General features: G+C 40.7%; 1 protein-coding gene across 16 annotated transcripts in view, besides 6 other annotated features; it reads right to left on the bottom strand.

The window, feature by feature from the left end:
• The window catches only part of NCOA7 (nuclear receptor coactivator 7), a 150,920-nt gene that overhangs the window by 134,740 nt on the left and 2,237 nt on the right, over positions 1-13,943 (bottom strand). For 4 of the 16 annotated variants that reach the window (XR_007059204.1, NM_181782.5, NM_001122842.3 and 1 more), the window contains exon 1: positions 6,228-6,335. The exons of 2 other annotated variants lie outside the window; for them this stretch is intronic. The gene's annotated coding sequence lies outside the window, so the exon portion shown is untranslated. Of the gene's footprint in view, positions 1-497; positions 616-6,100; positions 6,336-6,925; positions 8,570-11,081; positions 11,159-13,943 lie in introns of those variants that run through there. 10 more of the 16 variants (XM_047418206.1, XM_047418207.1, NM_001199620.2 and 7 more) reach the window with 5 other exon arrangements.
• Positions 5,753-5,852: an enhancer, noted in NCBI's record as "active region_25031". NCBI's record gives its function as "activates an Ori minimal core promoter by ATAC-STARR-seq in GM12878 lymphoblastoid cells {active_cell/tissue: GM12878}" and the evidence as "EXISTENCE:reporter gene assay evidence [ECO:0000049][PMID:35858748]".
• Positions 6,048-6,548: an enhancer, noted in NCBI's record as "H3K27ac hESC enhancer chr6:126111893-126112393 (GRCh37/hg19 assembly coordinates)". NCBI's record gives its function as "activates a minimal SCP1, AML or CMV promoter by ChIP-STARR-seq in primed H9 embryonic stem cells {active_cell/tissue: H9 hESC(primed)}" and the evidence as "EXISTENCE:reporter gene assay evidence [ECO:0000049][PMID:30033119]".
• Positions 6,048-7,049: a biological region, named in NCBI's record as "H3K27ac hESC enhancers GRCh37_chr6:126111392-126111892 and GRCh37_chr6:126111893-126112393".
• Positions 6,073-6,912: a silencer, noted in NCBI's record as "silent region_17522". NCBI's record gives its function as "represses an Ori minimal core promoter by ATAC-STARR-seq in GM12878 lymphoblastoid cells {active_cell/tissue: GM12878}" and the evidence as "EXISTENCE:reporter gene assay evidence [ECO:0000049][PMID:35858748]".
• Positions 6,549-7,049: an enhancer, noted in NCBI's record as "H3K27ac hESC enhancer chr6:126111392-126111892 (GRCh37/hg19 assembly coordinates)". NCBI's record gives its function as "activates a minimal SCP1, AML or CMV promoter by ChIP-STARR-seq in primed H9 embryonic stem cells {active_cell/tissue: H9 hESC(primed)}" and the evidence as "EXISTENCE:reporter gene assay evidence [ECO:0000049][PMID:30033119]".
• Positions 7,503-7,602: a silencer, noted in NCBI's record as "silent region_17521". NCBI's record gives its function as "represses an Ori minimal core promoter by ATAC-STARR-seq in GM12878 lymphoblastoid cells {active_cell/tissue: GM12878}" and the evidence as "EXISTENCE:reporter gene assay evidence [ECO:0000049][PMID:35858748]".

Below are 13,943 nucleotides of genomic sequence, written 5' to 3'. Positions count from 1 at the left end.
ATTAAAAGTATTTCATTCACCTACTTAGGAGTCACTTCTTAGATTGGACCACTCTCTCCAAATGGCTCATGTCATCTATCAGGGTCAATGTTCAATCCTTTCAATGTCTTAAGAGTACCCTTTTTGCCTGGCTAATCCCCAAACTCCAGTGACACCCTATTTGGAGGCTTTCGTCCCTTTATGTACCAACTACAGAAGAAAACTAGAGTGGGAGGAATAAAAGACACTCTCCCAGATGAGTGTCATAATAAATACCAAAGCTATTTTTAATGGGTGTTAACACAATGTTTGAGAATTAGTAAAGTAAGCAAGGGCTGCTTTAAAAAGTTGATCTGGACATGCACAGGTGGCCCTCCATATCCATGGGTTCTGCATCCATGGAATCAACCAACCAAGTGCATCACTTGAGGTCAGGAGTTCGAGACCAGTCAGGACAACATGGTGAAATCCTGTCTCTACTAAAAATACAAAAATTAGCCAGGCTTGGTGGCACATACCTGTAATCCCAGCTACTCTGGAGGCTGAGGCAGGAGAATCACTTGAACCTGGGAAGTGGAGGTTGCAGTGAGCCGAGATTACATCACTGCACTCCAGCCTGGGCGACAGAGTGGGAATCTGTCTCAAAAAAAAAAAAAAAATTGAGGAAAAAAATGAATGGTTGGATGGTTGTGTACTGAACATGTACAGACTTTTTTCCTTGTCATTATTCCCCAAACAGTGTACTATAACAACTATCTACTTAGTATTTACATTGAATTGGGGTATTTTAAGTCATATAGAGATGAGTTCAAATATACAGGAGGATGTGCATAGATTATATCCAAATACTATACCATTGGATATCAGAAACCTGAGCATCCTTAGATTTTGGTATCTGCAGGGGTCCTGGAACCCACTACCTGGAACCAATCCCCTGCACGATACTGAGGGACTACTGATTTATATTGAGGTGGGTGGGGGGTGGGGAGAGAAGAAGGATGAATGATTAAATAAAATCTTCAACCCTAATTTTTTTTTATCAATCTTACATGCTATCCAAAATCATGGTTAATTTTTTACCAGAACGTCAATTTTGCTAGTAGCAAAATATAGCTATTAGCTATAACATAGCTAATATAGAAAATTACTCCTAGTATGGAAGCCTACTTGGGACACTAAGTTTCATGCAGAAGGCTCCATGAGTTTACAGAATCTCAAGGAAGAAAGGCCCCTAGAGATGACACCAGAAATGAGAGTGGCTTGCTCATGAAAATTGGACAGCATGTTCCAAGCAGAGGGAACAGCATGGAGAAGAAAAATCATACTCTATCCACGTGCAGAAACTGGCAATTAGTTTTGTATTACTAAAACACAAATGTTTAACTTGGGGGTCCACAAACAAGGATATGTTGGCAAATGGTATTTGCTGTGCATGATGACAACTTGAACTTTCATCAGGTTTTTTATGGGTCTATGAAATGGGTCAAGGGGACTTAGCTAAGAATGACTGTGGGTAAAATGCATGACAAGGAGGGATACAGACAGGAGATGAATCTCTCAGGGTCCAAGAGACCAGGGTAAGATGTGCAGATTCCTTCCTGTGTATGATGGAAATGTTTTACAGGGTCTGAAGGGGGAAGTTTAGAAGGACAGCCTGCTGAAATGGGGACAGCTTGAAATGCAGAGCAAGGCAGAATGCAGACAACACTCCAAGGCATCTAAGGAGCCAAACAGAGGCAGTGGGAATAGAACAGAGTGAATCAGAGACAGGTTAGGAGAGAAAATGAGCAGCTTCCATGTTCATATTTGCTTGCATATGCATAAAATGTCACTAGAAGATTCTCAGTTAACTAACACTGGTTACCTGTGGATTAGTGAAATGGGTGACAGGGGAATGAGGATGAGAGGGAGTACTTTCACTCTAGAGCCATGCGTACCTTTTGAACCATGAGGATACTACCTATTCTAAAAATAAATTTAAAAAAAGACATGAAGGTTATCAGAATGAGATGCCTCTATGTAAAAACCTGCCTAGGTCCCCCTCCAAACCCCCTCTTATGTTTTAAGTTGCACTTTTGAATTCAGATCATTTTTATGCCAAAGGCTACCAGACTGTACCAATGACTGACCCTTGAGAAAGGCCAATCTTTCTGCTTACTGTGGTGATAAATATATCAAGCCTAACTTATCATGTCGATGTAAATAATGAGTTACCTGGGTAAATTCAACCAACTTAACAATTAGGTGTCAAAACATCAGTATGAAGAATTAACTCCAGGAGCTCAATCTTTTAAATTTCATGGTAAATAAAAGAGGCTCAGAGAAGACTCTGATTTATTAAAACAAGGATAAATCACATGAATCACTGACGCGAAGGTCAGATTGTCGATTCACTCTGGTGAGTGTTATGCTAAGTTAGGCTAGCCCTTCAGCTAAAAATGACTTTATTCTATTGAAACTCCTGTTCAACCTATATAGCGTTTAAGGCAGGTACTCCAAATATAATTGACTTAAATTGAATGGCTTTATTAATTTCAAATTAGTAATGAGTGAATATAAATGTAAGAGTTTAAAAAAAAGTTTTGTAAAACTATGTAACATTGTTTTCCATTTGGCTAAGTTCAAATGTACTAAATTTGCAATTCTTGTTCAAAACATTTAATGTAACCCATTAAACTTGTTCATCAAAAACATACTGTGTCCAGAGATCAATTGTGCAATGGCTTCATTTATTTGGTTTTATGTTTTATAATCTGCCTTGTTCCACAAAGGATATGAGTCATCTTAAAAGAATATAATTCAATCAAATGGAAAAGTATAATTAGATAAACATCAGAATCAAGAAAAACAAGGTAGAACAGAAGCTCAAGACCATAGGAAAAGATAAAATATTGATATTAGGTTATGAATTTTTATATGATTATTAAAATTGAGTTGCAAATTTGTTCATTTCCTAGTTGCCAAGTTAGAAAGGGAAATATAATCAATGATTTGATTCTCATTTTGCATGATGAAAAGAACACACACAAACACACACACACAAGTTGTTCAGGGTAAGTAAAGCTTTTCTTTGGCATTTAAAGTTAAATGGAATTTCTTGCATGAGTCTTCAAACAGAAACTATAGAAAGTACCATGATCATAACCACATTTCGAAAGTAACATAATAGTAAGTTTCCTCTGACTGTATTAATAAAATCCCTCAGTGTGGGCATATGGGGGGGTGTTAAGGATGCAAAACAAGGTACCAAAGTACAGCTTCTGAAGATCTGGCTAGACTTCTGGTCTAACAGCTAGTATTGGAAGGGAATAGGTTGACGTCATGGCCTTTGTTCAGCCAACCCCCCGTAAACATCATTTCTCTCAATTAAGCTTCTGATCAAATTTAGCAACAGAAAATTCATATTCTCTGGCATGTACAGAAACAAATGCATTTTGTATCACTGTTGAGGGGAGACCAGTAGACAACAATCACTCTTTATGTATTCACTATATCTGAAATTCAAGGTCATACAAATTTACTTCTGTATATTTTTTTCTGCAATCAACAATTCTGATTTTAGCACAAGTGAATTGAGTGGATCCTGTTGAATTTAAACAAACAAAAAATTATGGGCTGGGATTTTAAAAACAATAGTAAATGGCATTTAGCAAGAAAGGAATAGAGGTTTCTAAAATACAGCCTTTAGGAAGATAAAGAGAGGAAATCCAGGTCTTGGATTGCATTCTGGTGGTGCTTGTGGGGGCGGAGTGCTGGGGGATCAGGAGGTAGGACCCAAAAGTGAGTCAACCAATCCCAGAGGCACTGCGCATTTGGTTGTAGGACACACAGAAGAGAAAAATACCTCTTCAAATCTGAGATTAGAGCTTTTATTTGACTGTGATTCCAAAGCCAAAGTAATAGCAGTTAAACTGAGCAGTTAAAGGCTCAACTCCTACTTGTAAAATGAACAAATAAGTGCTTATAAGTAACAAGGTAAAGAGAGCTTACTGTAACCAAAGGGGAGGGCTTTTTTGAAAAGCTTAAAGTGTGCAAGGAAGAGCCAGGTAAATTAATTGCTCAATACCCTGGGTTACAAATTTAAGAAGTGTAAAATGTAATTATCTTTATTACAGGAGGGAATTTTGGCTTTGTTTTAATAAATCATAACAAATTAATTTTTTTCATAAGTTCCCTCCCACTGTTGGTTCCTGCAGTCTTATTAACTTTTATAGGAAAGTTTTATTTCCTTATCCATCTAGGAAGAAAATAAGTAGGTTGGAGAAGCAATAGTAATAAAGTATGGCCTACCATATTGTGTAAAAATAAGTCATTTGAGTAATATGAAGTGAAGATGGTAAAGATGCATTAAAATGTCAGAAAGAAAACCTGGGAGCATGCCCAGATAATATTGTTAAGCAGAGACTGAAAGAAGTTCACACTGACTCATGAAATTCATGTGATGGAAAAAAGATGAAATCAAAACAGAAAATGTCATAGTGTAAAAATAAAGCAAATAAAGTTTGATGCAGTTAACCTTGTTTTTCTTTTTTTTTTTCAAAATGATATAACATTTTAAAGCAGGAAGACACTGTATCTTGCAAACCCTCATTTCACAATCCCCTGGCTGTCAAATTTGGAAACTGATGTGTTTCTATACCGAGGAGAAAACAGTTTAAATTGTGTATCTATATCACACATTTTGAATCATTTAAGAATCACAGACACTTCTACATGTTTTATTTCTACTTTTGCCTGTGATAAAAGACATGATAATTAGATCAAACCTGAAAAACTCAACTCTAAAATAAGTGAATACATCACTTATTAACCAAATCATTGTTTCCTCTGGCGTAACTTACAATTTTCTTTAAAACACGACTTTTACTTTTTAAATTGTGTTTGAGAGCACAGTTGAAGTTGGCATGATTACCAGTGAGACTGGAAATTTTGCAAGCTTAGACATGAAATGAACTTAAGAGTTGGGGAGAATTACCTCATAACCTTGATGACATATTACAGAAAGATAGCATATGGTCCTAAAGATGTCAGAATTGAAATATAAATGTTAAAATAACTGAGTTTGCCTATTTATACAAAGAGGCAATTTTTGAAATTCAATTAAATTTCACCGGCTACAGAACAATTCTGTGATTCTAAATTGTGGTTTTTAGATGAAAGCTTGAAACACAGTTCATTCATTCAACAAATAACTAATGGGTACTTATTCTGCATAAGATGCAGAAGATTACAGGATTTAAAAAAAAACAGATTCAAGATTCTGTCCTATTTGAGCTTATACTGAGTCACTTCTCCAAATCTCTATACCTAAGTGACTATAAAATTGGAGCTTACAGTGATGCATTTTTCAAAACTTTAAGCCTTATTGCTGAATATAAAATAAAAAATGATAGTCTGGGAAGAGGGAATCTTGCCAAAAGCTCTGATGTATAAACTTTACACCTAGAGGAGAAAAAAAGCATTAATACATAACCAGTTTCTGAGAAATACAGAGCATAACATCGAGTTGGAAGTTAGGCTGGGCACAAGGCTGCCTCTGCTGGCTGACCCGGTACATCTTTCCAGCAGAATCTCAACTCCCGACACCTGTATCAAAGTTGCCACTCTTAAAACACATCCCTTCACGTAAGCAGAGGCTCCTAAATACTCAGCACAACAATATCCCAGCCTCATCGATCTCCAGAATAATCTGACTTCTAGAAGGACCTTCTCTAAATTGGCCCTAACGTGTTGACGGTAAGGGTTTGCCCCATCGATTTTATATACCAACTAGCTAGCTCTGAAATACACAAAAATCCACAGCGACTTCTACATGCCACTAATAACCCTTTGCCTGTCTACATGTTTTGGCTAGAAAGATGGGAAGAACGCATCTGCTAATCCAGCCGGAAAAACACAGTGACATATTTCCACCTGAGCTGCTGAAAATCCAACGGTCTTCTCCCCAAATAAGCCCCATGCCAACCTGTCCTCCCCACTCTCGTACTGGCGCGCACCCCCACGAGCCCCCCAAGGGGTGGGCGGGGAAGGGTCAATCTCTCCTTCGCCCCCGCTCGGCCTCCCGAGCTCAAGCAGAGGTTTTCAGGTTCACAGGGGGCTACGCCCAGCGCCATTAGCACACCTCCGAGCGCTCCACCGAGCCCCCGGCGGGAGGCAAGTTTGGCCGGTCCTGGACCCTGCTCGCGGCCTCTCGGCGGCAGCATCAGCGGCGGGCGGCGGCGAGGGCTGGGCCCCGCCTCACCACCTACCTACAGGGCGGGGGCGCCGGCTCCTGGGGTCCGGGAGAAGGGGATCGGTCGCATGCATTTCTGGGAGCGGTGGCCTCTGCTGCTGGGCGCCGGGGAGCGCATCCTCTCGGCGGGTGGAAGGAGGGGTCAGGGGAGGACCGTACGCCGAGGAGGAGCAAGAGGAGGAGGCGGGAGCTCCGAGGCGCGCGCCCGCGGGGCCCCGCGTCCGGATCGGGTGTGCGCAGCCGCCGCAGTCGGGGTGTCTTAGGCCTCTTCCCACGCGCGACGCCTCGCCAGCCCCGCAGCTGCGCCCCCCGTCAGGGCATGGGCCGCTACGGGGTCCCGGGCCCGGCTGAAGGCGGGCAGTCACGGGTGGCGCGACGCTGTGCAGACGCCCGCCTCTAGCTCCTCCCGGCCAGTGGCGCGCGCTGCGCCTCACAGCGGTTGCGGGGGCCTGGGAGCTCGCGCCGGGCTCTGCCGCTCGGACTGCAGTTGCGGCATCCTCCCCGCCCCCCGCGACCTCCGAGCTGGGAGGCTGGGCACCCCGGCTACCCGCGGCTGCTGCAGCCTCCGCTGCCGCGATCCCGGCGGCTCCGCCCCGGAGAGCTGCGCGTGCGGCCTCCGCAGGCCTCGGCCCTTTGTGGCGCCTCCCGAGTGCGGGCGCCTTGCTGCCCCAGCGAACCGCCGCCTGGCAGCGGCACCTAGGAGGGTCCTCTTACCTCACCCCGGGCCGCTTCCCCCTTACAGTTGGCCCGCCTGGCCCCTACTCTTCGTGGGAAGTAAGGCTTTGACAGCAGAGCAGGAGTTAGAGCTTTTCCCCAGCTTTAAAGCCCTTTGACTTTCCTTCCAGCTCAGGACCGATGGCCACAATAAATTCATCCTGTGTCCCTTCTGGCGTTGCGTTTAACAGAGGGGCCCACCATCTCCTTCCCCCTCCCGTTCCCGGTACACCATCCTGGATGCTGCCAAATTGCAGTCATTACAGCAATAAGAACATAGCAGTTGGGCCCTCCAGCCGACTCTTGGCAGAGACTCGAGAGAACCTTGGAGGGGGAAGGTTTGCATCAGCTGCGGGGCCTGTGCCTGTGAGCTCCCCATCCCCAGTTGGGTGCTGTTCCCTCTGCGGTCCCATGACCAGCACTGCAACATGACTAGGAGGATCTGGCCGTGGAGTTCATTCACTCTTATACGCAGAAAAATATCCCAAGGAAGGGCCTGCAACTACTCTGTTAACAGTGTGTTACAGGCCTTCCACACAGATAAACTAGATAGCAGCCTCCTCTGGGTTGTTGACGCAGCTTAAGCTGTAATAACCTCTCTGGAAGGCGGAGCAAAGCGTTAACAGTGGTGGCTTTGGCATTTCAGCAGCAGGTGGTCATGTTATACTGTCTTGCAAATGTGGAATAATTGCCCAGTTTTGCACTAAGCACGTATTAATTTAGACGTCAGGTTTATATCTTTGGGATTTGAATGTAAAGATGTTGGATTTTTTTTTTCTGTAGCCATTGTGTTATTTGTAAATTGTTTAGCATTTAGTAAGGGAAAATTAGGTTCCTAAAGTATAAAGAGCTGATTGCATTGTATCAAAGGAACATGGTTTGAGATCTCCAGGGAAGCTGAGCTGCTCTCACAGTTCTTTGATGAGTGCTTTTATGATTTTGCAATCTAAGGTTATTGAAAATCAGGCAAAAGAAAAACATGTTCCCTGGCAAGGACAAATTGTGACTAAATAGCTAAGATTTTTTGAGATAGTTCTTTTAAGCAAATTGAAGGTTGGGTGTGAGGCCCTGTGGGAGCTGCACTGCGCTTGTCCAGGAAGCACCCAGTGGGGTGTGACTTGGCTGCTTCCTGACACTGGTTGATCTAGAGCCCCACTTTATTTTCAAAAGATAACTATTATTATTTATGATATTTTCCCAAACTTAGAATTACTTGATTATAGGAATATGTATGTACATATCTGATGTATAAGTAACACGTTGAAGTCACTTAGGAGAATTTGGCAGTTGCTTACTCTTTAACAAAATTTTTAAGTTTTGAATGTAGTTTCTGAAGGAAGTGTCCATTGACTTACAAGTTTTCCCTGTTTCTCATCCTTTTACTATCAAGAGGCCCCTGTTGTTTTTCTCTCTATGGACTCCATGTTTTGTAAATAAATTAAGCAGTGATGTTTTTATTAGACAAAAACCTATAACTGAGTATGAATTTTTAAAGTTGTGACCATCAATTATAAAACGTCAGTCTTCTGGCCAGGCGCAGTGGCTCACGCTTGTAATCCCAGCACTTTGGGAGGCCGAGGCGGGCGGATCACGAGGTCAAGAGATCGAGACCATCCTGGCCAACATGGTGAAACCGCATCTCTACTAAAAATACAAAAAAAAAAAAAAAAATTAGCTGGGTGTGGTGGGTCCTGTAGTCCCAGCTACTTGGGAGGCTGAGGCAGGAGATTCACTAGAAACCGGGATGCAGAGGTTGCAGCGAGCGGAGATTGCACCACTGCACTCCAGCCTGGTGACAGAGCGAAACTCCATCTCAAAAAAAAAAAAAAGGTCTTCCAAAGATATTGCAAGGAATGTAAGAATCCATCTTTATGAACTCCTCTAGGACTGCATGCTGTATCATATGCTTCTTATAACATTTTTATTATACTGAAAGTCCTGATATAATAAAGATTTCTGCTCCCCAGCTAAGGGAGTACAAACTCCTCCTAAAGATTCTTCACTTGTTCCTTTCCATTAACTGATTTACCTAAGCCTTGGCTTTATAGATAAATCGGAAGAAATGAAACTCTTCCTTGCATGTGTTGTCCAGTACTGTATGCCTTAGCTACTTGTAGCCGTTTAAATTTAAATTATGGCTAGACTGTGCTTTTGGATAGCACAAACTAGAACATTTTCATTATTGCAGAAAATCCTTTTGAACAGTGCTGCCCTAAATAGAAGGTCAAATTTTAATTGGGAGATAAGATATAATACATGAAATAATTTGGGAAATCTTAGTATACTACAGATCAAACCTCAGTAGAAAGTGTACTTCTTAAGAACATGGTAATCTTTAAGAATTCAGGCTCTGGCTTCAGACTACAGCTCCACCACGTGCTGACCTTGGGTAAACTACTTAACCTCAGTTGCTTTATCCGTAAAGGATATGCTTTATCCATAAAGAATGGTAACAGTACCAACTTTATAGGGTGGATATAGGAATTAAAGGAGATAATCCCAAGTGGTTCTTAAAGTCTAGAATGTGGCCATCAATCAAAGGTATTACTAGAATAATATACTTTATTATGATAAAGTTTTTAAAAATGGTATCCCTAACACTTTTCACTGTTCTTGGCTGCGGAAGTTACTTGGTAAATGCTGAATTAATGAAAAAATATAATACCACACTGATTTTATGGCTGTGAGGGCCACCTTTAAATATGAAAACTGGCCTTTCTCTGTTGAAGGGTATGGGCCATTGGAGGATAATTTAGGTGGATTTGTCATTTAACTTTTGCAGGAATAAACAACCTTTGTATGATGAGACTTTGGAGTAGATAAGAGAAGCAGAGATCCCTTCCTCTCTTAAAGGAAGAAGAGAGGGATCACTTCACTCCGCCATTTGTTTGTTTCGCTGAGCCTGTGGGAGGCAGCTGGATCTCTGGGTTCAGGCAACAGGATTTCTCCCAAGTGATTTTCTAGAGGGCTAAGGTAGGCGGGCTTAGAGAAACATTGCCAAACAGTGGCAATCCTGCAAATGTGTTCGGTATTTTTCTTACCTATCTATCTAAAGACAATTCTTGTAATGAAGAAGCATGATTAGTATTTCTGTTTTTGAATACAACACTAGTAATGTCTCATGAAACTAGAATTCTAAAAATATTGGCAAATATTGCTGTAACATTGCCCAAATGAAAGGCTCCTGAGTCTCTGGTTGATCTAGAGCTCTACTGTATTTTCTTTTCTGTTTTTTTTTTTTTTTCTTCCAGACAGGGTCTCATTAGGTCACCCAGGCTAGAGTGCAACCTCCAACTCCCAGCTCCATTGATCTTCCCACCTCAGCCTCCCAAGTAGCTGGGACTACAGTCATGTACCACCACACCCGGCTAATTTTTGTATTTTTTGTAGAGATGGAGTTTCGCCATGTTGCCCAGGCTGGTCCCAAACTCCTAGGCTCAAGCAATCCATCTGCCTCAGTCTGCCAAAGTGCTGGGACTACAGACATGAGCCCCTGCGCCTGGCCTATTTTCACACCTGTAATCCCAGCACTTTGGGAGGCCGAGGAGGGTGGATCACTTGAGGTCAGGAGTTTGAGACAAGCCTGGCCAACACGATGAAACTCTGTCTCTACTAAAAATACAAAACTTAGCTGGGTATGGTGGCACATGCCTGTATCCCACCTACTTGGGAGGCTGAGGCAGGAGAATCACTTGAACCCGAGAGGGAGAGGTTGCGCTGCGCTCAGATCGCGCTTATGCACTCCAGCCTGGGCGACGGAGCCGGACTTCATCTCAAAAAAAAAAAAAAAAAAAAAGACAATGATTATTGTGTATGATATTTTGTCCCAAATTTAGAATTACTTGATTATAGGAATGTATATGTACATATGTGATGTATAAATAACAGGATGAAGTCACTTAGGAGAATTTGGGAGTTGCTTACTCTTTAACAAAATTTGTAAGTTTTGAGTGTAGTTTCAAAACTGGTTAAGTAATGACCTTGGAGCTATTGAAAATATTGAAATGTCTTTGGAAGGTCTCTCAAAAGCTGTGGGAGAGGAGTTTTATGCATTAAGTGATGAGCTTAGGCTACTAGCACCAAGAAAATTCACTCTTTAGTGAACCTATCCTTCTTTCTCTAGCGCAGAGAGAAACACCTCTTTTCATACACTTACTTGACTCAGGCCGGTTGGGACACAGGAGGCAAATACTGATGATCATGTGTGGAGGGATACGAGTAGCCATCCTGCAACTAAAGAGGCAGAAGAGAGTTTATTATTTAATAGTATTTAAGGCAGTGGCTCATTTTCACAAACTGGGGTCATTTGTCTACTGGTTAATTATGATAATATCTTGAGTTTTGAGAAAAATGTAAGTGTCCTTTTGTGGATAGACCTATGTTCAGTGTTTCATTTGGCTTGTTATAAATCTGAAGAGGAGTTAGAAATCACCTTTTTGTGGCGTCTTTGTGGCGTCTACCAGAGTGTACTGAGAAAGAAATATTGCTGTATATAGACATGGATTGTTGTCCGCATAGCTGTCATCATGTCATACTTATGGCTGATTATTTAGAGTTAGCCCAATAAATTTTTCCTTTTCTTTTATTCACAGCTAATTTAAAAATATCTGCTTTTGAATAATTTCCTGTTGTCTTATTTCTTCTACGAATAGTCTGTTCAGTAGCTTGAGAATTCATTACATAGTTTTTACACTTTCTGAAAAACATATTCAAATAAGCTGCTACAACATTGGTGCTAAAATATAATTTAAAATTTTGAAATGAATCCCTAAAAAAGTGACATTATGTGGTGGTGGTTTGTATTACTGGGTAAAAGAAATTTACAGTGATTATGCTAATAGGGGTTTTTTTCAAGGGAAATAATTACAGATTAATAAATAGTTGTAAAAAATGTACAGGGAAGTCCTGTGTTTCCTCCTAGTTTTCTCCCCATGATTAATGTCTTACAAAATTACATTACAATATCAAAACTAGGAAATTGACATTGGTACAATCTTGAGAGCTTATTCAGATCTCACCAGTTTTTTTTCTTGAGACAGAGTCTCACTCTGTTGCCGAGGCTGGAGCGCAGTGGCACCGTGTTAGCTCACTGCAACCGCCATCTCCTGGGTTTGAGCAATTCTCCTGCCTTAGCTTCCCGAGTAGCTGCGATTACAGGCGCCCACCACCACACCCGGCTAGTTTTTATATTTTTAGTAGAGACGGGATTTCACCATGTTGGCCAGGCTGGTCTCGAACTCCTGACCTCAGGCGATCCACCTGCCTCGGCCTCCCAAAGTGCTGGGATTACAGGCGTGAGCCACCGCATCCAGCCAGGTTTCACCAGTTTTATGTACATTCATGCATGTTTGTGTGTGTGTGTGTGTGTGTGTGTGTGTGTGTTTATATGCAACATTATCATATCTTGTATCACCACCACAATAAAATACAGAGCTATCACCATGAGGCTCCCATAAGCTACTCCTTTAGAATCATACTGATCTTCCTCTTCACCACATCCCTATTTCTGGCAACCACTAATCTCCCATCTCTATAATTTCAAGAATGCTATATAAATTGAATCATATAGTACGTAACCTTTTAGATTGGCTTTTTTCCTCATTCAGTATAATTCCCTTGAGATCTATCCAAGTTATCACGTGTATCAATAGTTCCTTCCCTTTTCAGATAATATTCCAAGGCATATCGATGTACCACAGTTTGTTTAACCATTCACCCATTGAAGGGCATTTCAATTGTCTCCAGTTTTTGGCTATTATGAATAAAGCTACTGCTATGAACATTCATTTGCAGGTTTTATGTGAACATAAGTTTTCATTTTTCTGGGATAAATGCCCAAGAGTACATTTGCTGAGTCATATGGTAAGTGCATATTTAGTTTTTTAAGAAACTGCCAAACTATTTTCTAGAGTGGCTATACCATTTTATATTCCATCAGCATGTATATGTGATAAAAGATGGATTTTTAATCTATTAAATAAACTTATTATGATGATACATTTCTCTTATTATACCATAATTGCTTGGTTACTTGAACTCTACCAGACTAAGTTTTAAGGTCAGGGATCCTGTTTTGTTCAGTGTGGTGTCCTTGGTGTCCAACATAGTACCTGACATATATTAGATTCAATAAATGTTTATCAAATGAATGAATAGCTTAATAAACAAAAGAAGGACAGCTGACTCAGGTTGAGATCAAATTGAAAAACTGTAAATAAATTATAATGATAGTTGAATATGAATTGGATGCCATGATTTTTCTTCTAACATTTTCAAATCAGAAATTGGCACTCTATAAGATGAATCACTTGTGGGCAAGTTAATAAAAATTAAATGTTAAATTATGTTGTTCCAAGGTTATTTTTGGCTGTACTTTGGTAACAGCAGAAGATTGTAAACAATCTAAATGCCCAATGATATGGAACTGCTTTAGTAAGATATCTATACAGTGGAATACCTACCCTGCAGTTGTCAAAAACAATGAGGAAACTCCATTTAAATAATGAACACCCTCTAAAAGATATTAATTAAAAAATACAGAAAATCATGTAGAGTATGCTACTCTTTGTGTAAAAAATTTAAAAAGGAAATTAAAGAAAAATAGATATATGCATGAAGATGTTAATTCTTCCTGTTATAAAGTACAGGCTGTACCTGGGCCATGTTGTGCTTGAAAGTAAAGAAGTGCTCAAAAATGTATAGGGACATTCCAAAAGAACACAGGAGCCAGTTTGAATAGACTCCCTCTGGCTGAATTTGGGACGATTTAGGTTTTAAATGAATAATGACAGCAACAGAATATAACACATTGAATAAAAACTCACTAAAACAGAAAAAAGAATATGAGTCCAGGCTGATATTTAAAAATTAAATAAAGAATACAAAGAGGGAGGAGAGGAGGGAAAGTTCTTTTCAGAAGAATGATAAAATATCACCATTTTGCCATCACTATAGCAATAATTGATTCAGACAAGGATCATCAGTGAATGCTAAACCCATTGGCTAAAAGTTTGCTGAG

This window comes from Homo sapiens, chromosome 6 (assembly GCF_000001405.40).
Source record: "Homo sapiens chromosome 6, GRCh38.p14 Primary Assembly".
Lineage (NCBI taxonomy): Eukaryota > Metazoa > Chordata > Mammalia > Primates > Hominidae > Homo > Homo sapiens.
This window is presented reverse-complemented; position numbering and strand designations above follow the sequence as displayed.